General features: G+C 43.6%; 2 pseudogenes across 2 annotated transcripts in view; one reads left to right on the top strand and one right to left on the bottom strand.

Annotated features, from left to right (window-relative positions):
* On the bottom strand, positions 1,962-2,126 carry RNU1-119P (RNA, U1 small nuclear 119, pseudogene; annotated as a pseudogene).
* The window catches only part of SORD2P (sorbitol dehydrogenase 2, pseudogene), a 58,948-nt pseudogene continuing 33,559 nt past the window's right edge, over positions 2,048-27,436 (top strand). The window contains exons 1-2 of one of the 2 annotated variants that reach the window (NR_146394.1): positions 2,048-2,118; positions 5,137-5,247. The product of NR_146394.1 is annotated as a sorbitol dehydrogenase 2, pseudogene, transcript variant 2 (transcript). Of the gene's footprint in view, positions 2,119-4,122; positions 4,425-5,136; positions 5,248-27,436 lie in introns of those variants that run through there. The other variant, NR_146393.1, reaches the window with a different exon arrangement.

Raw genomic sequence — 27,436 nt, 5'->3', positions numbered from 1 at the left:
TACTAGGGCAGTGCCTAGTAGCTGTGGAAGAAGGGCTGCTGCCCTCCACCCTAGCATTATGGAGTCACCAGCAGCATGCACCTCAGTCTGTGAAAGCCTCAGGCACTCCACTCCAAACCATAAGAGCAGCCATGTAGGCAGCGCTCAGCAAAGCCATAGGGATAGGGCTGTCTGAGGCACTGGGAGCCCATCCCTCAAACCAGTGTCCCCAGAATGCAGGACATGGAGTCAAAGTTTATTTTGGAGCTTTAAGATTTAATGTCTGCCTGTCTGCCCTACTGGGTTTCAGACTTGCATGGGCCTGTTACCTTTCTTTTGGCCAGTTTCTCCTTTGGGGAATGAAAATCTTTACCTAATGCCTGTACAACCATTGCATCTGGGAACTAAATAACTTGTTTTTGATTTTACAGGCTCATAGCTGGAAGGAATTTGCCCTGAGTCTCAGATGAGACTCTGGACTTCATATTTTTAAGTTGATGTTGGAACAAGTTAATGCTTTTGGGACTACTGGGGTAGACTGTATTTTGCATGTGAGAAGGACATGAGTTTGGGGGGAAGGGGCAGAATGTTATAGTTTGGATGTTTGTCTCCCCAAGCCTCATGTTGAAATTTGATCCCAATGTTGGAAGTGGGGCCTAATGGGAAATGTTTGGGTCAGAGAGGATGACCTCTCATGAATAGATTAATGCCCTCCCTTTGTGGGTTGGTGGGCGCAGGTAAAGTGAGTGAGTTCTCACTCTGTTATGCTGGTTGTTAGTTCCCATGAAAGCTGGTTGGTAAAAAGAGCCTAGCACCTCCCTGCTCTCTCTTGCTTCCTCTCTCACCATGTGATCTCAGCGCGTGCTCGCTCTCCTTCCCTCTTCCCTTCTGCCAATAGTGGAGGCAACCTGCAGCCCCTCACCAGAAGCTGAGCAGATGCTGCCACCATGCTTATTGTGCAGCCTGCAGAACCATGAGCCCTATAAGCCTTTCCTTTATAAGTCACCCAGCCTCAGATATTCCTTTATAGCAACACAAAGTAGACAAAGACACCATCTCAAACTTGGCCTACCCAAAATTACACGTTTGATATTTTCCCCAAATCGGGTCCTCCCCAAATCTCAGCTGAGAGTATCTTCATCCATCCAGTTAGTCATGCCAGAAATCTGGGAGTCAGCCTTTCTGCTATCTTCTCCTCAACTCCCACAAGCTAACACCTTACCAAGTTCCATGGATCCTACATCCAAAATAAATCTTGTATCTGTCTACTTCACTCCACCTCCACTTCCACCATTTATCCAAGTCCAAATCACCATTCTTGGCTGGCATATAGCAGGAACCTCAACTGGTCTCCTTGCTTCCATTCTTCCTGTGCCACCAGCACTGCCACCACTACCAAAGTGCCTCTCTCCTTGGGTAGTTCTAGACTAAAATTCCTGCTCTCTGACTCTCTTTTCCTAACTCTTCTTAGTGCTTTCTTCAGGTTTGTTAATGGAAAGTATGTTAATGGTTCCTCAGGGTGGCCTCTATTAATCTCTTTTATTGCATATGGATTTTACTAGTTTAATGTTCGTTGTCAACCTTATTTCCAAGTTCTTCAAGAAACTTTATGGTTTTTGGTTTTTTGTTGCTTCTTTCTTTTGTTGTGAATAGCTAGGTGTGAGTAACTGAATAGCTGATGAAGCAATGGAGAAAGCCATAGTCAGGATTTTATAACTGTTCTGACTTTTGGAACACCAAGGACCTATGGCACACTGATTTTTCTTGTTAGTACACTATGTAATCCAGACCTGCAATAACCCAGTATCTGTGATAATTTAAGGGGAGACTAACCCATCACAGACACTGGGTTATTGCAGGTTATCCAGATCCAGTATCTGATGGGTTAAAGTCTCCCTTAGATACGTGACCCCACAGGATTAATTTTTAATTAATTATATTTTAAACTCCAAATGAGTTTTTTTTTCCTTTTTTTTTTCCCCAGGGGAAAGCACGAATGCAGTTCCTCACTACCACAAATTATGCTGTTGAGTTTCCCGCATTTGGGGAAATCACAGTGGTAAGCACACCTATGGAGTGCAATGGATGAGCCTCAGCCTGGGAAAACCACCTTCATGATCATGGCATCTCCCCTGCCAGGTAAGAATCCAAATAAGTTTTGATAGTAGAGATTTATCAAGAACTTGTTAGTTGTATTCAGTGGGGAGAGTGTTTCGAAGTGCTGTGCTGTCTGGGAACGTTAAGCAGAGACCTAGAGAAGCTATGCCAAGCAGGCCACCAGCAAAGTCAAAGGCAGCATTTTACAGCTTATTCAGTAAAATGCCTGGAAAAGTCTGTTCCTCAGCACTATGAATGCTGGTCTTCATTAGGAAATTATGCAGAATGTCACAATACTATAATAACAACTTTTTTTTTGTTTTTAAAATGTCAGCTTCTTAAGACTCCTTATCAAGTTCTTCTGCTCTGAAAAAACAGAATCCTTATCAATTCTTCCTTTTACTTTCTCTATAAAGAGCCCTAGTCATAGAATATATTTCTAAATTTGCCTTCCCCTCCTCCAAATCTCTGCTACCAGGCAACAACCTTCAAGACAGCTTTAAAGTGTTATTGCTCAGGAGAAAACAAATACAACTCCAGTGTGGCCATTATGTCATTATTCCAGTGGCTTTTGCTTTGGTTCTCTGTGTTTTGTTTTCATAATTTAAAGTCCAAGGAGTGTCTCCTTAAAGTGGCCCTCAGCTCTTAAGCCATTCCTGGGGTCTTCTCCTTCAGCTTCACCCATTGGAAGGACATGCTTAGAAGACTGTGAGGAAACCCCATAAAGCAAGGAGGGTTAAACTGGGTTTTAAATTCAGTGGGTAAGTGAAGGCAAGTACCTCATCTCTCCAAGCAAGACCTTCTTAGCTGCTAAGAGCAGGAGCTACTGAAAGAACCAGTCATGCACAGCTAAGAGCTGTGGGAGGTATCTAAAAGCAAAGGACCTGACTGATTCCATAAGTCATTCCACTGCAAAAATCCATTCCACTGCCTTGTACATCTTGTAATGCTCCCCCACCCCGCACCTACACATGCACGCGTGCGCACACATACACACTTCCTTTTTTGTCATTACTGGGGCTCCAGAGATTGATCCGTCTTCATCACCAAATTTTTTGGGGGCTTTTATACTGTATAGAACACTTTACCACATCCTGGTTAAGAAATGAGGCCTTGTCATCAGTGGGATTCCAGTGCATTTGGGGAAGGGGTGATTACTGGTGAAAGTACAGGCTGTGCCCTGTGTGTTGGGCAGGCCAGGGGAGACAACTTCAAGGGCTGGGGCAAAGTCTAATGGATTAGGTAAGGGGATTAGCAGTGTGTCTGTGAAACCACCACTGCAAAATCATAACTGAGACAGTGAAAGAAATCTGACCTAAAATCTTGCTTCTAACCTCCAAGCTGTCCTTCTTCATTCCTGGGCATGGTCTGAACCAACTTCAGGGAGATCTTAGTTTTTAATTTATAGATTAAAACAGAGATAACAGCCCTTCTCCAAAACAAACCTCCTTCTTGCCTGGGGACTAGACTGCCTTTGTAGGAGTAATGAATTAGCCACAAGAGTAGAAATTATGGTTTAGGAGTCACGCAGCTGGAGACTACAGGATTCTGACCCTCCCCAAATTGCTCCTGGGGATAACATCACTATTATAAAATGAAATGTTAGTGCTTTAGATATTTTGCAGACCCTGCACTTGATGGATCAGCTGGCACCACCCAGATTGATAAACTGGCTCATCTGATTTTGGGGCCCCTACCCAGGAACTGACTCAGCCCAAGAAGACAGCTTTGACCCCTTATGATCTCACCTCCGACCCAACTAGTCAGCACTCCTGACTCACTGGTTTTCCCCCACCCTCCAAATTATCATTAAAAACGCCGATCTCTGTATGCTTGAATGCTTGGGGAGACTGATTTGAGTAATAATAAAACTCCAGTCTCCCGCAAAGCTGGCTCTGCATGAGTTACTTTCTTTACTGCAGTTCCCCTGTCTGGATAAATTAACTTTGTCTAGGCAGCAGACAAGGTGAACCCATGGGCAGTTACAAATTTGGGGCTTGCTGGGGCTTGCCCTTGTGGCTGCCTGCCCGTGGTTTGGTAGACTCCCTCCAGCAACAGATCCAGAGGCCAGCCCAAGTGGCCACCTAGTTCTCTTGGACTCTAGGCTCTACTGGTGGGGTGCTGCTGATCCAATGGGCATGGATTTAATTGCAATACAGAAATAGTCCTGGGAGATATCCCATAACTGTAGCTCCATGCTGGAATGTTTGTCTGTAGCCCCATGGTGGGGTGTCTGTCTCCAGCTCCACCACTGGATGTCTGAGACTCTAGCCCTATCACTGGGTGTCTGTCTGTAGCCCATCACGTAGTGTCTGTAGCTGTAGCCCCATTATGGGGTATCTGATTTGGTGAGTATTCTAGGTGCTGCCAACAGCCCCTTCCTTCTCCTATTTGTCAGCCTCTCTGGACGTGCTGCTGTCTCTTGGTTGCCTTGCAGGATGTCTGTCTGTAGCCCCATCATGGTGTGTCTGTTTTTAGCCCCATCACGAGATGTCTACTGGTGGGGTATCTAATTGGATGGAGAATAGGGGGACTTGTTTGGAGGAATACTCTTGGTTTGTGACTGGGTCTGGAATCTGTGTCTCAAAGGCCTTCTGTCTGTCTTGTCTTTGTTGTGTGTGTGTTTGTATATGTTGAGGGGATCTCTGAGGGAATTGCTGATGGAAGTCCAGCAGGCCTAACTCAGAGAACCCTCCGTAAGTCAGGTTACATCTGGTGAGCCCTGAAGAAAGCTCAACAGGCCTGACATGGGGTGACTGTCCACTCTTCATCTTGCCCAGAGACCACCCATTTAATTACCGGTTGGAAGTCATCCCTCTCCACTTGGAGTGGATCAAAGACTATAGGAACCAACATGAGAAAATTTGAGCCTTGCCAGGTCAATATTGGGTGCTGAACGAGGTGACTAGTGTCTGTTTAGTTATGTGTATTTTGCTTCGGCTGGGATGGAAAATATTAATTCAGTTCCCCATGCAACCCGTCAGGCAGCATCTTGCAAAAGTGAGAAGCTTTTGCCTACGGTTCCATAAAACAGAAATGGATGATTTTCTTTTGTAACAGGGCTTGGCCCCCACAGCTATGGCACAGTAAGCAGATTCATCAAAAGCTGCTCCATTCTTCTGGAAGCTTCAGAGAAAGGGAACACAGAAATCTGGTATGCTGGTAAAAAGGGTAAGAATTTCTCACCAGCCGAGTTTCTGGTCTCTGTCTCTCTCTCTCCTCTCTCTCTCTCTGTGTGTGTATGTGTGTGTGTGTATTTGTATAAATGATAAACATCACTGTTTGTCTCCTCTGCAAGGGTTTGATTAGTAGAAGAAAGCATTTGTGAGACTAGTCTTAGGTGGTAGCAAATCTGGTGTACTTTGTGCTAAGAATTTGTCTTTCTGTGTTCTTCTGTAATGGAGAGAAGGGAATCACAGAATAGAATGTGGGTTTAAGACTCCTGTAAGCCCACTTTTCAAGCCATCCTGGCAGGCTGCTCAGTTACAAACTTTGCTGTGTGTCCCTGAAACCAATACTAGATGAAATTTATCTGTTTGTTTTGTGTCCTTAAGAGCCCAATCTTGTGACCATGTGGGGATACTTTCTCTTGGTCTCTGCCACCCAGAGGACAGGAATTTGGGGATTCATGTCATAGTTAACCCTAAAAGTTATCTTGAGCAGTTAAAAGCCTTTGCAAGCTCAAAATTGGCTGCTCTAGGCTTCTTCTAGGAAGAGCAATAGAAATTGCTCAATGCTGTAACTCAGTAGCTAAGGCCTTGTCTTTTGACAATGGCATCCCAGGTTCAATTCTTGGCTTAGGGAATGAGTCTTTTCTGGTTTATTTGTGTAACTTTTTGACCCTTATTGATTCTTTTTCCCCCATGGACCACTTTTGATTTCTCCTCTTGAGTTTTCCTTTGAACTACCTTGGGAAGATTCTAAATCTTGTTAAAAAAAAAAAAAAAGAAAGAAACTGATTACTCTCTCTTTGAATCACCATGTGTATCCATTATAACCTTATTTAAAACATTAATTTCACATGGGAAGTTACCTGTGGTGAAGTTCAAAAGCAAGGAACATTGACTGTCTGTGCTGGCTAGAGTCTAGTAATTAGATATTTAAAAAATAATTTTTTAAAGAGCTGTATGGTTAAAATCAGCTTCATTAAAAGCAGATATCCAAACTGTACATATATTTAAAATACCTTTACTTTTTTTTCTCTTCTTGGATCTTATTTTTCTAAAGAAAAAAAAGGTTTTTTCTTCTCAGTTGACTGAATTGTTTTTCTCCACTTTTGTCTTCTCAACACTCTTGATGCCCACATGAAAGAACCTAAGATAAATTCTAACAGCCTGGGACTCTTAGGGAAAAACAGAGGAGGTGCCACAGACCCCATTCTGGGAAAAAGCTCTGTTTTTCTCATGGAACCCTAGGAATTGAAAGAGAATAGATCCCTCTCAAAATCTAAGGCTGTATTCTGTTTTATATTACATTACCTGACATTTTTTACTTTGGCAGGTATCAAAAATTACTTTGCATTATTTGAGAGCTTTTAGTCTTGGTGTGTAATAACCAGGTAGGAAATATACTTTAAGGGATAACTAATAGCAGTTAAGAGGGATACTTGGCTCTTGGATTTTTGGATTAGAGAAGCATGCTCTTGGCCACCTGGAAGGTATGGAAATATCCCCACCCCGAACTGAGAGGAGACTCCCATGGAGGATGGGCTGATTTCAAAATGGGCTAATTGGCTTTGGGTTGCTTTGCAATGACATGCATGGTAGAAGTATTGCACTATCTTCTCCCATAGTATTTCCCTCTTTTGGGGGGATCCAGGATGCAGTATACAAATGGCACCCTTAATTTTGGGGATATGTTTTTGCCTTCTAGCTATGCCTTCTTATTGGGCCCTAGAAATGCCATGCTTTCCTGGTGCTGTTCCTCCAAGGGTGTCACCTTGAAGCCAGTAATCCAATTAAGAAACTAGCAAATGAAAAATCTTACAAGTACCAGATCTTCTGTCTGTCTGTCTATGTATATGTGTTGTATGCATGATGTTTGTATAAAAGAGCTCTAATTGGCTTAGAAAAATAAGCACTTAAATCAAGTATTTTGTCAGAAAAATAGAAACTTTTTAATGCCTGTTTGTTCACATAATTTCAGTGATCTTTTGGAAATAAAAACAGTTTTAAAGATCACTGGTAAATAAAAAATGTCTTCACAATTTAGATGTTTGGTCTAAATAAGGTCAGATGTTAGGTTTGCTAAATGCTTTAAAGTCATAAACTGTTTCTTTGACTTTCGAAAATTGTTAGACTTACCTACTTTGGAGCCATTAGAAATTCTAGCTAAGGTCTGGGGACATGTGGAATTAGCCATGCCCCCTAGCTATGCTGGAGGCAGACCTTATCTGCATTTCTGTCTGATGTCCTAGGCTCCACACTTAGTACATAATTAAAACCACTTATTTATCAGGGTTTTCATCAAAAACAAAAGTTGCTAAGTGTTAACGTTGTAACGTGTAATTGAGACTGCTGGAGAAATTGTTTTACATGCAAGATGTGTAAGGAAAGTAGAATGTGCTTTAGCTAAAGGATTAAATAAGGTAAGGGAATATGGCTTTTGTCAAAGGGAATGTAATTTTGTCTAGTTCAGAGGGCTTTAAAGATCGTCTTAACCTAAAAGAGTAACAGGACAAAACTGAAGGTTTAAGCAAGTTGAAAAGTGTTTGTGAAGGGTTGGTCTTAAGTTTTGAAGGGGATTATTTAATTTTTTTCTGTATGTTGAACATAAAAGCACACTAATGCCGGGCCAGAATCTGGGCCCCTGTGTCTAAACAAAAGGGTTTTCTTAGAAAATTAATCTGCTGTTTAATGGAAAATTGTAAAGTGTTCTAAAAAAGTTTATAAAAACCTTACCTTATGGTCAAACTAATTAAAACTGGATAATTTATAACATTTTATTTAAAAACTAGCTTTAGCATTAAAGAGGCATTAATGCAAACATGAAATTTGGTTTTCTCTTTTGAAAAAGATTTTTGTGTTATTGATATATGTTCCAAAATTATGTGAAACTCCTGTAATTCTGATATGACTTTGTATATGTTATCATTAATAATTATAATTGCTATGTTAAATTATTGTGTTCCCCAGAAGTAACAAATTTCCTTGTCAATTGTGTCTTTAACTGTGGCTGGCCTAAAACTTTTTGTCATCCACAGACAATTATTGTCTTTTGATCCTCTTTAAATGGTTTTATAATCAGCTATAACACTCTGACAGGTGCTCTTAAATGCAGGTTTCTGAAAACTTTGGAGATTGTGACATTAGAATAGAGGAAAAACTTTCAGGACTCTCATTGAGAGCTGAAATGTTCATGAATACTAAGCAGAATGGAAGTTAACTGCATGGGCTGAACTAATAGAAGACTGAGGCAACTTTTTTTGACTTTTTGTTTAAAACATTGCTGATCATTTTTTGTTTTTCAGAGCCAAGAAAACCTTTCTTTTGAGCTATTTACAGCTTTTAATATTGAGTAAAGTACACATCTGTAAACAAAATTTGGAGCATATTTGATTCTCTCTTCCTGATTTTGCCAGGATTTGGTAACTATTTGTGAGTATTCTTATGGCAATATAGTTACTTCCATAAGTGCAATAAGAATGTTTTCATTTGCAACAGGACAAAATTGAAGAAACTGGTTATTTTACCAAGGCTTTGACTGGAATCGTATGCTTGCCTTTAAGGAATAAAAGCCTCTTGAGGCCAGGCATGGTGGCTCATGCCTGCAATCCCAGCACTTTAGGAGACCGGGGCAGGCAGATAGCTTGAGCTCAGGAGCTCAAGACCAACCTGGGCAACTTGGTGAAACCCCGTCTCTACTTAAAATACAAAAATTATCTGGGTGTGGTGGCACATGCCTGTAGTTCCAGCGACTTGGGAGGCTGAGGTGGGAGGATTGCTTGAGCCTGGGGGATGGAGTTGCAGTGAGCAGAGATTGCATCACTGCACTCCAGTCTGGGTGACAGAGCAAGATCCTGTCTCAAAAACAAAACAAAACAGAGAAAACAAAGCCCCTTGGGAAAACTGGCCTCATGCCTTGTCTACACAGTCCCTGTACAGGGTTCCTGATCTGTGGTGAGTAAAGAATGTCACTTTCTAACAGGCCCAGGAGCCCCAAGTTATCTTGGGACCTCAAGAGGAGAGGAATTGACCCAACTCATGGTTATTTGAGGGTACAAACCCATGGGCTTGGCCTGGCTTTAAAAAAGTCTTGTTTGAGATTCCTTATGGAACAGAGTTCCATCAAAGCCAATTTAAAAAGCCTATGTGAACAATAATTATTGTTGCTGCACTTATGCAAGTAATCAGGCAGAGCATAATAAGACTAAAACTTATTTTGCAAGTAAAGTTGACCTACTGTGATTTATTTTTAATTAAAAAATGGGGACTGGAGACAGAAAAATTATGCTCCAAAAATAAAAAACAATCATTGTTAGTTGTTCTTGAGTTTTTTCTGCAGTTTGGACTAAATCCTAAATTATTCATGGACTACAAGTCTCCAAATTAATGTTTTCAAATCTTTACTTTTAAAAGTTGGAATTGCATGCCTTATGCTAGAACTCATTATTTACTTTGTAGTGTGCTGTTCCCTTAAATGCAATACTAAAATTATAGATGACAATACTAACACATTTTTCAGCCATCCTGCGTGAGTATGTTCAGACAGTAGCAAAATGATTCCAGTCCTCTCACCTTGGGGTCAACACCTACCCCGACTATGCCCCTGGTCAGCAGGAAGAAGTTAGAGTGGTCTTTGCCCTTTCTCCATCTTCATTAGCCAACACCTTAAGATTAAGGTGTTATAAAACCCAAAGGAAGGGATTGAAAACGCCATTGCAAAAACATAACTGAGACAGTAAAAGAGATCCAACCTAACCAAGTCCGTCTTGCTTCTAACCTCCAAGCTGTCCTTGTTCATTCCTGGGCAAAGTCTGAAATAACTTTGTGGGGAACTTAGTTTTTTTGTTTTCTGTTTTTTTGAGACAGAGTCTCACTCTGTTACCCAGGCTGGAGTGCGGTGGCATGATATTGGCTTACTGCAACCTCTGCCTTCTGGGTTCAAGAGATTCTCATGCCTCAGCCTCCCAAGTAGCTGGGATTACAGGTGCCCACCACCATGCCCGGCTAATTTTTGTATTTTTAGTAGAGACAGGGCTTTGCCACGTTGGCAAGGCTGGTCTCAAAATCCTGACCTCAGGTGATATGCCTGCCTTGGCCTCCCAAAGTGCTGGTGAGAGGTGGAGCCAGCTGGACTTCCTGGGCCAAATGGGGACTTAAAGAACTTTTCTATCTTACAAGAGGATTGTAAAATGCACCAATCAGTGCTCTGTAAAAAAACACCAATCAGCATTCTGTAGCTAGCAAGGGGATTGTAAAATGCCCCATCAGTGCTTTGTAAAATGCACCAATCAGCAGGATCCTCAAAGTAGCCAATCACAGGGAGGATTGAAAAAAGGGTTTCTGATAGGATAGAAATGGAACATAGGAGGGGACAAATAAGGGAATAAAAGCTGGCCACACCCAGCCAGCAGCAGCAAGCTGCTCGGATCCCCTTCCATGCTGTGGAGGCTTTGTTCTTTTGCTCTTCAAAATAAGCCTTGCTAGTGCTCATTCTTTGGGTTGGTGTCACCTTTAAGAGCTGTAACACTCACCGCAAAGGTCTGCAGCTTCATTCTTGAAGTCAGCAAGGCCATGAACCCACAGTCAACCAACTCTGGACATATTTTGGGGGCTCATCCAGGATAGCATCATGCAGTGAGTACCATTTCACTTGCTATTCTGTCCTATTTTTCCTTAGAATTCGGGGGCTAAACACCAAGCACTTGTCAGCCAGTTAGAAGGAACTAGTGTGGCCCCCAGAATAAGACACGGGTGTCAGGCTTTCTAGGAAAGGGCTCTCTAAAAACCCCCCAACTCTTTGGAGTTAGGAGCATTGGTTTGCCTGGAAACAGCTTCTGCTTCTCCTGTACTTCCGGGCTGAGCTAAGGGTCAACAGAGAGGAAAGCCATTCACTCTGGGGTCCTAACAAAAGTTGGTTGACCTTGCAGCCATGAGCAGACTCTCAAAGTTACATCACCCAAGTGAGACTTGTCCATCTATCCTATCTATCCTGATCCTTGCCTCCTGGGTCCTAATGCCTGTCAGACAAACTTCCTCCTGCCTCTGTTCTCCAAGGGTAATCCTGCTTCTAAAAACCACTCCCTGTCCCTGGTGCTTTTCAAGTTTCTCCTATAAGAATTATTTTTGTATAAATTTCGGGACTCTGTTCCCTTTTTGAGGCACCCAGGCTCACCAATCAGAAAGACATAATTATTGCCCGAAGCCCTATCTCGGAGGGACTATCTGGAATTTTAGGATCCCTCTACAGACGAGTAGGCCTAACAAAGGCTATTCCCAAAGCTAAGATATGCAGAGCCTCAGAAATTATAGATTCCAAAATTGGGAGGGGGGATATCCTTCCTATTCATATGATGAGAAGTGAGGACAAAAGGCATCACTCTTACAACCCTGGCGATCCCTTCCCTCCTTCAAGTATGGCCCTCCACTCCATTTTGAGGCATATCTTCTCTATAGGACAAGGGTAAGGTCACAATACCAACAGAAGAAAATGCTTAGGACTCTTAACTAACAGGTTTTCGAGAATGTGTAAGGGCCACTGAATCCGATTTTTCTCGGTCCTCTTTGTGGTCTAAGAGGAAAGGCAAGGGTGCAGGTTTTCGAGAATGCATTGGTAAGGGCCACTAAATCTGACCTTCCTCAGTCCTCTTTGTCGTCTAGGAGGAAAACTAGTGTTTCTGCTGCTGCTTCAGTGAGCACAACTATTCTGAACAGCAGGGTCCAGGGACCGTTGCAAGTTTTTGGTCAGGGATAAAAAAATGAACCAAAATCATGGGCAGTTTTTTCTTTTAGATGGGAAACACTCAGGCATCAAACAGGCTCACACTTGAAATGCATCCTAAGCCATTGGGATGAATTTGACCTGCAAGCCCTGAAAAAGAAGAGGCTTATTTTTTTCTGCACTGTGGCCTGGTCCCAATATTCTCTCTCTGATAGGGAAAAATGGCCACCTGTGGAAAGTATAAATTACAGTATTATCCTGCAGCTTGACTTTTTCTGTAAGATGGAAGGCAAATGGAGTGAAATACCTTATGTCCAAGCTTTCTTTTCACTGAAGGACAATCCACAACTATGCAAAGCTTGCAACCTACATTCCACAGGAGGACCTCTCAGCTTACCCCCATATCCTAGCCTCCCTACAGCTCCTCTTCCTATTAATGATGAGCCTCCTCTAATCTCCCCCACCCAGAAGGAAACAAGCAAAGAAATCTCCAAGGGGCCACAAAAACCTCTGGGCTATTGGTTATGTTCTTTTCAAGCTGTAGGGGGAGGGGAATTTGGCCCAACCTGGGTACATGTCCCCTTCTCCCTCTCTGATTTAAAGCAGATCAAGGTAGATCTGGGGAAGTTTTCAGATGATCCTGATAGGTATATAGATGTCCTACAGGGTCTAGGGCAAAACTTCGACCTCACTTGGAGAGATGTCATGCTATTGTTAGATCAAACCCTGGCCTTTAATGAAAAGAATGCAGGTTTAGCTGCAGCCTGAGAGTTTGGAGATACTTGGTATCTTAGTCAAGTAAATGATAGAATGACAGCCAAAGAAAGGGACAAATTCCCTACCAGTCAGCAAGCCATCACCAGTATTGATCCCCACTGGGACCTTGACTCAGATCATGGGAACTGGAGTCGCAAACATCTGTTAACCTGTGTTCTAGAATGACGAAGAGAATTAGGAAAAAGCCCATGAATTATTCAATGATGTCCACCATAACTCAGGGAAAGGAAGAAAATCCATCCACCTTCCTCGAGTGGCTATGGGAGGCCTTAAGAAAATATACTCCCCTGTCCTCTGACTCCTTTGAGGGTCAATTAATCCAAAAGGATAAGTTTATTATGCAACCAGCTGCAGATATCACGAGAAAGCTCCAAAAGTGAGCCCTGGGCCCTGAACAAAATCTGGAGGCATTATTAAAGCTGGCAACCTTGGTGTTCTATCACAGGGACCAAGAGGAACAGGCTGAGAAGGAAAAGCGAGATCAGAGAAAGGCCACAGCCTAACTCATGGCCCTCACATGAACAAACCTTGGTGGTTCAGAGAGGAGAGAAAATGGAGAAGGCCAATAACCTGGTAGGGCTTGTTATCAGTGTGGTTTGCAAGAACACTTCAAAAAAGATTGTCCAATGAGAAACAAGCCACCCTCTCGCCCATGTCCACTATGCCAAGGCAATCACTGGAAGATGTCCTGGAGGACAAAGGTTCTCTAGGCCAGAACCCCCAACCAGATGATCCAACAACAGGACTGAGGATGCCCAAGGCAAGTGCCAGCTCATGTCATCACCTTCTCTGAGACTCGGGTAACTTTAACCATTGAGGGCCAGTGAATTGATTTCCTCCTGGACACTGACACTGCCTTCTCAGTGTTACTCTCCTGCCCCGGACCACTGTCCTCAAAGTCCATTACCATCCGAGGAATCCTGGGACAGCCTGTAACCAGGTATTTCTCCCACCTCCTCAGTTGTAATTCAGAGACTTTGCTCTTTTCACATGCCTTTCTTGTTATGCCTGAAAGTCCCACACTCTTATTAGGGAAGGACGTGTTAGCCAAAGCTGGAGCTATTACTGATATGATATGAATATGGGGGACAAGTTACCCATTTGTTGTCTCCTACTTGAGGAGGGAATCAACTCTGAAGTCTGGGCATTGGAAGGACAATTCAGAAGGGCAAAAAATGCCCAGCCAGTTCGAATCAGGCTAAAAGACCCCACCACTTTTCCTTATCAAAGGCAATATCCCTTAAGGCCCAAAGCTCATAAAGGTTTACAGTATATTGTTAGACATTTAAAAGCTCAAGGCTTAGTAAGAAAATGCAATAGGCCCTGCAACACTCCAATTCTAGGAGTACAAAAAGCAAATGTTCAGTGGAGACTAGTGCAAGATCTTAGTCTCATCAATGAGGCAGTAATTTCTCTATATCCAGTTGTAGCCAACTCCTATACCCTGCTCTCTCAAATACCAGAGGAAGCAGAATGGTTCACTATTCTGGACCTCAAGGATACCTTCTTCTGCATTCTCCTGCACTCTGACTCCCAGTTTCTCTTTGCCTTTGAGGATCCCACAGACCACACATCCCAATTTACGTGGACAGTCTTGCCTCAAGGGTTTAGGGATAGCCCTCATCTGTTTGGTCAGGCACTGGCCCAAGATGTAGGCCACTTCCCAAGTCCAGGAACTCTGGTCCTTCAGAATGTGGATGATTTATATTTTTTATTATTACTATACTTTAAGTTCTAGGGTACATGTGCACAACATGCAGGTTTGTTACATAGGTTACATGTGCCATGTTGGTTTGCTGCAACCATCAACTCGTCATTTACATTAGGTATTTCTCCTAATGCTATCCCTCCCCCTGCCCCCCACCCCATGACAGGCCCCCGTGTGTGATGTTCCCCACCGTGTGTCCAAGTGTTCTCATTGTTCAATTCCCAACCATGAGTAAGAACATGCAGTGTTTGGTTTTCTGTCCTTGTGATAGTTTGCTGAGAATGATGGTTTCCAGCTTCATCCATGTGCCTGCAAAGGACATGGACTCATCCTTTTTTATAGCTGCATAGTATTCCCTGGTGTATATGTGTCACATTTTCTTAATCCATGCTATCATTGGTGGACATTAGGGTTGGTTCCAAGTTTTTGCTATTGTGAATAGTGCCACAATAAACATACGTGTGCATGTGTCTTTATAGTAGCATGACTTTTAATCCTTTGGGTATATACCCAGTAATGGGATGGCTGGGTCAAATGGTATTTCTAGTTCTAGATCCTTGAAGAATCACCACCACACTGTCTTCCACAATGGATGAACTAGTTTACACTCCCACCAACAGTGTAAAAGCATTCCTATTTCTTCACATCCTCTCCAGCATCTGTTGTTTCCTGACTTTTTAATGATCACCATTCTAACTGGTGTGAAATGGTATCTCATTGTGGTTTTCATTTGCATTTCTCTGATGACCAGTGATGATGAGCATTTTTCCATGTGCCTGTTGGCTACATAAATGTCTTCTTTTGAAAAGTGACTGTTAATATCCTTTGCCCACTTTTTGATGGGTGGTTTGTTTTTGTCTTGTACATTTGTTTAAGTTCTTTGTAGATTCTGGATATTAGCCCTTTGTCAGATGGGTAGATTGCAAAAATTTTCTCCCATTCTGTAGGTTGCCTGTTCACTCTGATGATAATTTCTTTTGCTGTGCAGAAGCTCTTTAGTTTAATTAGATCCCATTTGTTTTGGCTTTTCTTAACATTGCTTTTGGTGTTTTAGTCATGAAGTCCTTGCCCATGCCTATATCATGAATGGTATTGCCTAGGTTTTCTTCTAGGGTTTTTATGGTTTTAGATCTAACATTTAAGTCTTTAGTCCATCTTGAATTAATTTTTGTATAAGGTGTAAGGAAGGGATCCCATTTCAGCTTCCTACATATGGCTAGCCAGTTTCCCCAGCACGTTTATTAAATAGAGAATCCTTTCCCCATTGCTTGTTTTTGTCAGGTTTGTCAAAGATCAGGTGGTTGTAGATGTGTGGTGTTATTTCTGAGGCCACTGTTCTGTTCTATTGGTCTATATATCTGTTTTGGTACCAGTACCATGCTGTTTTTGTTGCTGTAGCCTTGTAGTATAGTTTGAAGTCAGGTAGCATGATGCCTCCAACTTCATTCTTTTTGGTTAGGATTTTCTTGGCAATACAGGCTACAGGCTCTTTTTTTGTTTCCATATGAACTTTAAAGTAGTTTTTTCCAATTCTGTGAAGAAAGTCATTGGTAGCTTGATGGGGATGGCATTGAATCTATAAACTACCTTGGGCAGTATGGCCATTTTCATGATATTGATTCTTCCTATCCATGAGCATGGAATGTTCTTCCATTTGTTTGTGTCCGCTTTTATTTCGTTGAGCATTGGTTTGTGGTCCTCCTTGAAGAGGTCCTTCACATCCCTTGTAAGTTGGATTCCTAGGTATTTTTTTCTCTTTGTAGAAATTGTTAATGAGAATTCACACATGATTTGGCTCTGTTTGTCTGTCATTGCCGTATAGGAATGCTTGTGATTTTTGCACATGGATTTTGTATCCTGAGACTTTGCTGAAGTTGCTTATCAGCTTAAGGAGATTTTGGGCTGAGACGATGGGGTTTTCTAAATATACAGCCATGTCATCTGCAAACAGGGACAATTTGACTTCCTCTTTTCCTAATTGAATGGCATGAACCCAGGAGGCGGAGCTTTCTCTTGCCTGATTGCCCTGGCCCATCTTCCAACACTATGTTGAATAGGAGTCGTGAAAGAGGGCATCCTTCTCTTGTACCACTTTTCAAAGGGAATGCTTCCAGTTTTTGCCCATTAAGTATGATATTGGCTGTGGGTTAGTCATAAATAGCTCTTATCATTTTGAGATATGTTCCATCAATACCTAGTTTATTAGAGATTTAGCATGAAGGGCTGTTGAATTTTGTAAAGGCCTTTTCTACGTCTATTGAGATAGTCATGTGGTTTTTGTCGTCGGTTCTGTTTATGTGATGGATTATGTTTATTGATTTGCATATGTTGAACCAGCCTTGCATCCCAGGGATGAAGCCAACTTGATCATGGTGGATAAGCTTTTTGATGTGCTGCTGGATTTGGTTTGCCTGTATTTTATTGAGGATTTTTGCATCGATGTTCATCAGGGATATTGGTCTGAAATTCTCTTTTTTTGTTGTGTCTCTGCCAGGCTTTGGTATCAGGATAATGCTGGCCTCATAAAATGAGTTAGGGAGGATTCCCTCTTTTTCTATTGTTTGGAATAGTTTCAGAAGGAATGGTATCAGCTACTCTTTGTACCTGTGGTAGAATTTGGCTGTGAATCCGTCTGGTCCTGGACTCTTTTTGATTCATAGGTTATTAATTATTGTCTTAATTTCAGAACCTGTCATTGTTCTATTCAGAGATTCAACTTCTTACTGGTTTAGTCTTGGGACAGTGTGTGTGTCCAGGAATTTATCCATTTATTCTAGATTTTCTAGTTTATTTGCATAGAGCTTTTTATAGTATTCTCTGATGGTAGTTTGTATCTGTGGGATCAGTGGTGATATCCCCTTTATCATTTTTTATTGTGTCTATTTCATTTTTTCTCATTTCTTCTTTATTAGTCTTGCTAGCAGCCTATCAATTTTGATGATCTTTTCAAAAAACCAGCACCTGGATTCATTAATTTTTTAAGGGTTTTTTGTGTCTCTATCTCCTTCACTTCTGCTCTGATCTTAGTTATTTCTTGCCTTCTGCTAGCTTTTGAATGTGTTTGCTCTTGCTTCTCTAGTTCTTTCAATTGTGATGATAGGGTGTTGATTTTAGATCTTTCCTGCTTTCTCTTGTGGGCATTTAGTGCTATAAATTTCCCTCTACACACTGCTTTAAGTGTGTCCCAGAGATTCTGGTACGTTGTGTCTTTGTTCTCATTGGTTTCAAGGAACATCTTTATTTCTGCCTTAATTTCTTTGTTTACCCAGTAGTCATTCAGGAACAGATTGTTCAGTTTTCATGTAGTTTTGCAGTTTTGAGTGAGTTCCTTCATCCTGAGTTCTACTTTGTTTGCACTGTGGTCTGAGAGACAGTTTGTTGTGATTTCTGTTCTTTTACATTGGCTGAGGAGTGCTTTGCTTCCAACTATGTGGTCAATTTTTGAAGAAGTGCGATGTGGTGCTGAGAAGAATGTGTATTCTGTTGATTTGGGGTGGAGAGTTCTGTAGATGTCTCTTAGGTCTTCTAGGTGCAGAGCTGAGTTCAAGTCCTGGATATCCTTGTTAACCTTCTGTCTTGTTGATCTGTCTAATATTGACAGTGGGGTGTTAAAATCTCCCATTATTATTGTGTGGGAGTCTAAGTCTCTTCGTAGGTCTCTAAGGACTTGCTTTATGAATCTGGGTGCTCCTGTATTGGGTGCATATATATTTAGGGTAGTTAGCTCTTCTTGTTGAATTGATCCCTTTACCATTATGTAATGGCCTTCTTTGTCTCTTTTGTTCTTTGTTGGTTCAAAGTCTGTTTTATCAGAGACTAGGATTGCAACCCCTGCTTTTTCTTTGCTTTCCATTTGCTTGGTAGATCTTCCTCCATCCCTTTATTTTGAGCCAATGTGTGTCTGCATGTGAGATGGGTCTCCTGAATACAGCACACTGATGGGTCTTGACTCTTTATCCTATTTGTCAGTCTGTGTCTTTTAATTGGGGAATTTATCCCACTTACATTTAAGGTTAATATTGCTATGTGTGAATTTGATCCTGTCATTATGATGTTAGCTGGTTATTTTGCCCATTAATTGATACAGTTTCTTCCTAGCATCGATGATCTTTAAAATTTGGCATGTTTTTTTGTTTGTTTGTTTTTTGTTTTTTGTTGTTTTTTTTTGAGACAGAGTCTCACTCTTTTGCCCAGGCTGGAGTGGAGTGGCATGATCTTGGCTCACTGCAAGCTCTGCCTCCTGGGTTCATGCCATTCTCCTGCCTCAGCCTCCTGAGTAGCTGGGACTACAGGTGCCCACCACCATGCCTGGCTAATTTTTTGTATTTTTAGTAGAGACAGGGTTTCACCATCTTAGCAAGGATGGTCTCGATTTCCTCACCTTGTGATTCACCCACCTTGGCCTCCCAAAATGCTGGGATTACAGGTGTGAGCCACTGTGCCCAGCCAAAACTTGGCATGTTTTTGCAGTGGCTGGTACCGGTTGCTCCATTCTATGTTTAGTGCTTCCTTCAGGAGATCTTGTAAGGCAGGCCTGGTGGTGACAAAATCTCTGAGCACTTGCTTGTCTGTAAAGGGTTTTATTTCTCCTTCACTTATGAAAATTAGTTTGGCTGGATATGAAATTCTGGATTGAAAATTCAGAATTTTTTTCTTGAAGAATTCTTTTCTTGAAGAATGTTGAATATTGGCCCCTACTCTCTTCTGGCTTGTAGAGTTTCTGCCGAGAGATCTGCTGTTAGTCTGATGGGCTTCCCTTTGTGGGTAACCAGACCTTTATCTCTGGCTGCCCTTAACTTTTTTCCTTCATTTCAACCTTGGAGCATCTGACAAGTATGTGTATTGGGGTTGCTGTTCTCGAGGATTATCTTTGTGTTGTTCTCTGTATTTCTCGAATTTAAATGTTGGCCTGCCTTGCTAGGTTGGGGAAGTTCTCCTGGATAATATCCTGAAGAGTGTTTTCCTACTTGGTTCCATTCTCCCTGTCACTTTCAGGTATACCAATCAAACATAGATTTTGGTCTTTTCACGTAGTCCCTGTTTTTTGGAGGCTTCGTTCATTTCCTTTCACTCTTTTTTCTCTAAACTTCTCCTCTCACTTTATTTCATTAATGTGATCTTCAATCACTGATATCCTTTCTTCCACTTGATCAAATCAGCTATTGAAGCTTGTGCATGCATCATGTAGTTCTCGTGCCATGGTTTTCAGCTCCATCAGGTTGTTTATCATCTTCTTTACACTGTTTGTTCTAGTTTTCCTTTCATGTAATCTTTTTTCAAGGTTTTTAGCTTCTTTATGAAGGGTTCGAACATCCTCCTTTAGCTCAGAGAAGTTTATTACCAACCTTCTGAAGCCTACTTCTGTCAGCTCATCAAAATCATTCTCCGTCCAGCTTTGTTCCATTGCTGGTGAGAAGCTGCTATCCTCTGGAAGAGAAGAGGTGCACTGGTTTCCAGTAAATTCCACTATTCTGCTCTGGTTTCTCCCCATCTTCGTGGTTTTATCTACCTTTGGTCTTTGAGGCTGGTGACCTACAGATGGGGTTTTGGTGTGGATGTCCTTTTTGTTGATGTTGATGTTATTCCTTTCTGTTTGTTAGTTTTCCTTCTAAGAGTCAGGTCCCTCAGCTGAAGGTCTGTTGGAGTTTGCTGGAGGTCATCTCCAGACCCTGTTTACCTGGGTATCACCAGCAGAGGCTGCAGAACAGCAAATATTGCAGAAGAGCAAATGTTGCTGCCTGATCCTTCCTCTGGAAGCTTCATCCCAGAGGGGCACTCACCTGTATGAGGTGTCTGTCAGCCCCTACTGGGAGGTGTCTCCCAGTTAGGCTACACGGGGAACAGGGACCCACTTGAGGAGGCAGTCTGTCCATTCTCAGAGCTCAGAAACCATGCCAGGAGAGCCATTGCTCTCTTCAGAGCTGTCAGACAGGGACATTTATGTCTGCAGAAGTTTCTGCTGTCTTTTGTTCAGCTATGCCTGCCCCCAGAGGTGGGGTCTACAGAGGCAGCAGGCCTTGCAGAGCTGCAGTGGGCTCTGCCCAGTTCAAACTTCCCCAGCCACATTGTTTACCTACTCAAGCCTCAGCAATGGTGGACGCCCCTCCCCTACCAGGCTGCTGCCTCAGACTGCTGTGCTAGCAGTGAGAAAAGCTGTGTGGGCTTGGGATCCACCAAGCCAGGTGCGGGATATGATCTCCTGGTGTGCCGTTTGCTAAGATTGTTGGAAAAGCACAGTATTTGGGTGACAGTGTCCTGATTTTCCAGGTACAGTCTGTCACAGCTTTCTTTGGCTAGGAAAGGGAAATTCCCTGACCTCTTGTGCTTCCTGGGTGAGGCGATGCTCTGCCCCACTTCGGCTTGCCCTCCATGGGCTGCACCCACTGTCCAACCATTCCCAATGAGATGAACTAGGTCCAACAGTTGGAAATGCAGAAATCACCGTCTTCTGCATCAATCACCCTGGGAGCTGCAGATCGGAGCTATTCCTATTCAGCCATCTTGGAATGGAATTTGGATGATTTACTTTTGGCTACCAGTTTGGAAGCCTCATGCCAGCAGGCTACTCTAGATCTCTTGAACTTTCTAGCTAATCAAAGGTGCAAGGCATCTAAACTGAAAGCCCAGCTCTGCCTACAACAAGTCAAATATCTAGGCCTAATCTTAGCCAGAGGAACCAGGGCCCTCAGCAAGGAACAAACACAGCCTATACTGCCTTATCCTTGCCCTAAGACATTAAAACAGTTGCGGGGGTTCCTTGGAATCACTGGCTGTTGCTGACTATGGATCCCCGGATACAGTGAGATGGCCAGGCCACTCTATATGCTAATCAAGGAGACTCAGAGGGCAAATACTCATCTAGTAGAATGGGAACAAGAGGCAGAAACAGCCTTCAAAATCTTAAAGCAGGCCCTAGTACAAGCTCCAGCCTTAAGCCTTCCCACAGGACAAAACTTCTCTTTATACATCACAGAGAGAGTGGGAATAGCTCTTGGAGTCCTTATTCAGACTCGTGGGACAACCCCACAACCAGTGGCATACCTAAGTAAGGAAATTGAGGTAGTAGCAAAAGGCTGGCCTCACTGTTTACAGGTAGTTGTGATGGTTGCTATCTTGGTATCAGAGGCTATCAAAATAATTCAAGGAAAGGATCTCACTGTCCGGACTACTCATGATGTAAACAGCATACTAGGTGCCAAAGGAAATTTGTGGCTATCAGACAACCGCCTGCTTAGATACCAGGTGCTACTCCTTGAGGGACCAGTGCTTCAAATATGCAGGTGTGCGTCCCTCAACCCTGCCACTTTTCTCCCATGGGATGGGGAACCAATCAAGCATGACTGCCAATAAATTGTAGCCCAGACTTATGCCACCCAAGAGGATCTTTTAGAAGTCCCCTTAGCTAATCCTGACTTTAATCTATATACCAATGGAAGTTCATTTGTGGAGAATGGGATACAAAGGACAGGTTATGCCATAGTTAGTGATGTAACAGTACTTGAAAGTAAGCGTCTTCCCCCAGGGACCAGCACCCAGTTAGCAGAACTGGTGGCACTTATCCGAGCCTTAGAACTGGGAAAGAGAAAAAGAATAAATGTGTATACAGATAGAAAGTATGCTTATCTATTCTACATGCCCATGCTGCAATATGGAAAGAAAGGGAGTTCCTAACCTCTGGGGGAACCCCTATTAAATACCCCAAGGAAATCATGAAGTTATTGCACCCAGTGCAAAAACCCAAGGAGGTGGCAGTCTTCCACTGCCAAAGCTGTCAAAAAGGTGAAGGAGAAAAGGCAGAAGGAAACCATCAGGCAGACACTGAGGCCAAAATTGCTGCCAGGTGGAAACTCCCATTAGAAATACCTATGGAAGGACCCTTGGTATGGAACAACCGTCTCCAAGAGATTAAGCCCCAGTGTTCCCCAACCAAAACAGAATGGGGACTTTCATGGTGGTATAGTTTTCTCCCCTAGGGTGGTTAATGACAGAAGAGGGAAAAGTACTCATGCCCAAAGCCAGCCAGTGGAAAATACTTAAGAACCTTCACCAAACTTTTCATATGGGTATTGAGAACACTCATCAAATGGCCAAATCCCTATTTATGGGGCCAAATCTCCTCCAGACCATCCAACAAGTAGTCAAAGCCTGTGAGGTGTGCCAAAGGAATAATCCCTTGGTCCATCATAAGGCCCCTCTGGGGGAACAAAGAATAGGGCATGATCCTGGAGAGGACTGGCAGTTAGACTTCACCCATATGCCTAAGTCAAGGGGATTTCAATACTTGGTCTGTGTTGATATCTTTACAAATTGGACAGAAGCCTTCCCCTCCAAGACAGAGAAGCCTTGGGAAGTGGTTAAAGTCCTAATTCATGAAATAATTCCTAGATTTGGGTTTCCCCAAAGCTTACCAAGAATACCCTAACAGGACGTGCAATCCAGCTTTTACATTTCCAACCTCACCTATTACATGAGCAATGAAAAGTCCATACACGGCCCTGTAACCATGAATACTGTCTTAACTTTCAAAGCCCCTTTATGCCTCCAGCACAACCTGTTATCAGGCCTGCCCCTGGGGCACCTACTATCCCATCAGTGTAATTACACCCTACAACTTCAAGCCCCAACTGATCATAGTAACTTCTGAGTCACCCAAACAGCTCCATTCAGATGGCTTGTCCGCTTCTCAGGGCCTCCAAAAATCATTACCTCCTCCCTGCTTAACAAACAGTCCGGGTTTTGTAATGGCAAACATACTCCCTGCATGACCATTCACCCCTGGTCCCCCTGCAGCAATGCCCCCACCATTAATTATTGCCTTCTCATCCCCTCTTTCAATCACTCCCTTGAATGGTTCGTAGTTGATACAAAATGATTTTTTCTCCAATGGGAAAATGGAACACAGGGAGCCACTCAATTTGCTCCTAACACCCCTTTCCAGCCACTCACAAGAGCTACCTTGGCAAGTACTCTAGGAGTATGGGAAAATGAAAACAACAAACTCACACAGCTTTTTAACATACACAACCAGTTCTGTCTACAGCCAAGGCATATTCTTCTTATGCAGAACTTCAACCTATATCTGCCTCTCCACCAACTGGACAGGCACCTGCACCTTAGTCTTCCTAAGTCCCAACATTGACATTGCCCCAGGAAATCAAACCCAATCAATGCCCCTCAAAGCTCAAGTCCATCAGTGCAGGGCCATACAACTAATACCCTTCCTTATAGGGTTAGGAATGGTCACTGCTACAGGAACTGGAATAGCAGGTTTGTCCACTTCACTATCCTACTACCACACACTCTCAAAGGATTTCTCAGACAGTTTGTGAGAAATAACAAAATCTATCCTTACTCTACAATCCCAAATAGATTCTTTGGCAGCAGTGATTCTCCAAAACCGCTGAGGCCTAGACCTCCTTGCTGCTGAGAAAGGAGGACTTTGCACCTTCTTAGGGGAAGAGTGTTGCTTTTACACTAACCAGTCAGGGATAGTATGAGCATTTACAGGAAAAGGCTTCTGAAATCACACAGTGCCTCTCAAACTCTTAGACCAACCTCTGGAGTTGGGCGACATGGCTTCTCCCCTTTCTAGGTCCTGTGACAGCCATCTTGCTATTACTCACCTTCGGGCCCTGTATTTTATTTTATTTATTAATTTTTTTGAGATGGAATCTCACTCTGTCACCCAGGCTGGAGTGCAGTGGTGTGATCTTGGCTCACTGCAAGCTCCACCTCCCAGGTTCATGCCATTCTCCTGCCTCAGCCTCCCAAGTAGCTGGTACTACAGGCACCTGCCACCATGCCCGGCTAATTTTTTGTATTTTTAGTAGAGACGGGGTTTCACCGTGTTAGCCAGGATGGTCTTGATCTCCTGACCTCATGATCCGCCCGCCTTGGCCTCCCAAAGTGCCGGGATTCAGGCATGAGACACTGCGCCCAGCCCAGTCCCTGCATTTTTAACCTCCTTGTCAAATTTGTTTCCTCCAGGATCGAGGCCATCAAGCTACAGATGGTCTTACAAATGGAACCCCAAATGAGCTCAATTCACAACTTCTACGAAGGACCCCTGGATCAACCTACTGGCCCTTTGACTGGCCTAAAAAGTTCCCCTCTGGAGGACACTACAACTGCAGGGCCCCTTCTTTGCCCCTATCCAGCAGGAAGTAGCTAGATCAGTCATCGCCCAATTCCCAACAGCAGTTGGTATGTCCTGTTTAGAGGGAGGATTGAGAAGTGAAGCCAGCTGAACTTCCTGGGTTGAGTGGAGACTTGGAGAACTCTTCTGTCTTGCAAGAGGATTGTAAAAAGCCTTGTCCCGCCCCTGCATGCGCTGCCTCTCCCAGGCCCCGCCTTCCACCCAGTGTCTTGGACCCTCAGCTGGGCAGCACCACCAGAGCAACCATACATCCTGCATGTTCCAGGCCTCACTCGAGAGGCAAAAAAGCTCCATGGCGGCGGCGGCCAAGCCCAAGAACCTCTCCCTGGTGGTGCATGGACCAGGTGACTTGCGCCTGATAAGCCTGGAAGGAGGGTGGGAAGCCTACCAACCCTGACTCACTCTCCTCTGAGCCCAGCCACAGTCCTGGCTTCCCACTTACAGCCCAGCACCGGCCCCGCAACTTAAGCGCCCTGGCTGCCCAGATCCCAGTTCCCCTCAGGATGTGGGGGTGGCGGGTAGTGGCTGTTGCGAAGAGCAGGGATCTAGTTGTGTACCTCCGAGAACCTAGCCCCATGGCTGGCACGTGGCCGGTGCCCAGGATGGTTGCAAACTGTTTGAATGAAGCTTTCTCTCTCCTTTGCCAGCTGCAGATTCATAGTCCAGCCTCTCGTCATTGACCTTTTCAAAGAAAATGCTAAGGCTGTCTGAATTATCCGGGCAGACAGTGCAAAGCAGAAAGGGGGGCCAGAGGACACTTAAAAACAGCAGAACTTATATTTAACTCCCCTTGCTTGGAACTGATAAACCTCCCTTGCAGGATTATTATGATCACAAGAGTACTCAGCACTTAGTACGTGCTCAGGAAGTGCCAGCTCCTTCTCCTTTCCTTCCAGTATAGACCACCATCTCCAGAACTCCTGGTGTTCCCCTTGCCTGTGCCAGACTTCTGAACCTTGGTAGTCCCCTTGTCTGTAAGGCTCCTTCTCTCCCTAAGTCCCTATCTGGTTTACTTTCCAGCAGTTTTTCTTTCTAATCCCGTGCCTCTGTCCCTTTAGGAGCATTCTGTATGTGTGTCCTCTGCTTTAGACCCTGCCTTTTGCTTCCTGTTTTGTGGCACCAAAGTTTAGGAAGTGGCGGAGTCAGCACCCTGGTCATGCCAAGGCTCCCTTGACAAAGTGCTTCTCAGATGGGCCTGGGATGGCAGTGGGTATGTGGGATGAGTGCCAGCCATCTCTGCTGCTCCCCTGTACCTCCTCTCCCTCAAAGTACATGCATCAGTATGTAAATTGCAGTAATTCAGAAGCTTATCCAGATTGGCAGTTCTTGACTATTTAAGAATCAGTAGTGTCCCTTCGACAGAATGCAAAGAGACTGAGTTTGGCAACAATTTCAGATTGTTCAAGGACTCCCTTTAAGCCACTCTAAGCCCCTCTATAGAACCCTTGTCCCAGCTGACTCTCCATCTCCTCAGTTGAAGAAAGTGCCATACCCAAGGTGATAGGTTTTGTTAGTTAACAGAGCCACGACAAGGACTCAGATGTTCAGACTCCCCATTCTAGTGCTCATTCCACTCTTTGGAGCCTCCACCCAAGGTCCTGAATTAAAGTGAGGCTGTTAGTGTTTACTGTTGCAAATGCCAGATGGTATTATGAGTAAGGGAAAGTGGTCCAGCTCTACCCAGCTTGCAGAGTGATTTCCAACTCAGTACTTCATTCCACAAACATTCACTCATGAAAGGGTGCCTGCCATGTGCCAGGCACTGGGCTGAGGGCCCAGAGAGGAGGACACAGCCCCTGCTCCCAAGTTTACTGAGGGAGGCAGACAGATAAAGTCAACAATTATGACAGAGCCCGAGGGCTTTGATGGAGGCCTCAGAGAGAAAAGACCCCACAGAGAAAAGACCCCAAGAGAAAAGAACCTTGGCCCTCTATCTGCTCAGAGCCTGCTTAAAAGTCATGCGCCTAAGATGCAGAAACACAGTTACGTTCTCCTTCATCTTACCTCAAACTCATGGTCTTCCACTGCTCAGGCAGACTACCTCTACTATGGTTCCGTAGACAAAGCTTTGAAGATTAGAGCAGCAGCGAACTAACCTTGATCTCATCAGCTTTGCATTAGAACCCACTCTCTGACTGGATTAGGGGCTAGGTTGGGGTGGCTGTAACCTAAAAGATCTAGAAAATATGATGGGCTATTTCACCTGTGGTTGTGTGCTGGTACACTAACTGGGTAAAAGAGTTCAGAGGAGGATTTAGGAAATGACACCTAGGCTCAGTTTGAGAATGGGAAGTGGTAGGGTCATTTACTGGTCAGAGTAGATTAAAATGAGATCAGGTTTGAAAAGTTGAGTTTAAGATGTCTCTGGAGGCCAGCTGTGGTAGTTCATGCCTGTAATCCCAGCACTTTTAGAGGCCAAGGTACGCAGATCACTTGAGGTTAGGAGTTTGAGACCAACCTGGCCAACTCGGTGAAACTCTGTCTCTACTATAAATACAAAAATTAGCTGGGTGTGGTGCCACATGCCTGTAATCCCAGCTACTTGGGAGGCTGAGAATCGCTTGAGTCTGGGAGTCAGAGATTGCAATGAACTGAGATCGTACCACTGCACTCCAGCCTGGATGACAGCAAAACTCTGTCTAAAAAAAAAAAAAAAAAAAAAAAAAAGATGTCTCTGGGACAGGACACAAGGTGCCTTTGAGAAATTTCCTTGGGTGCAAGGATCTGGAGTGCAGGGATACTAACTATCTTGGTTGGAAATGTAAACTCAGGAGTCCTTTGCTCCTCTACTGAGCAGTACTACACTGCCCCCCTGACCCAGAGGGCATTTGGAAATG

Source organism: Homo sapiens, chromosome 15 (genome assembly GCF_000001405.40).
Source record: "Homo sapiens chromosome 15, GRCh38.p14 Primary Assembly".
Lineage (NCBI taxonomy): Eukaryota > Metazoa > Chordata > Mammalia > Primates > Hominidae > Homo > Homo sapiens.
Note: the sequence above shows the minus strand (reverse complement) of the source record. Positions and strands in the feature narration are given on the sequence as shown.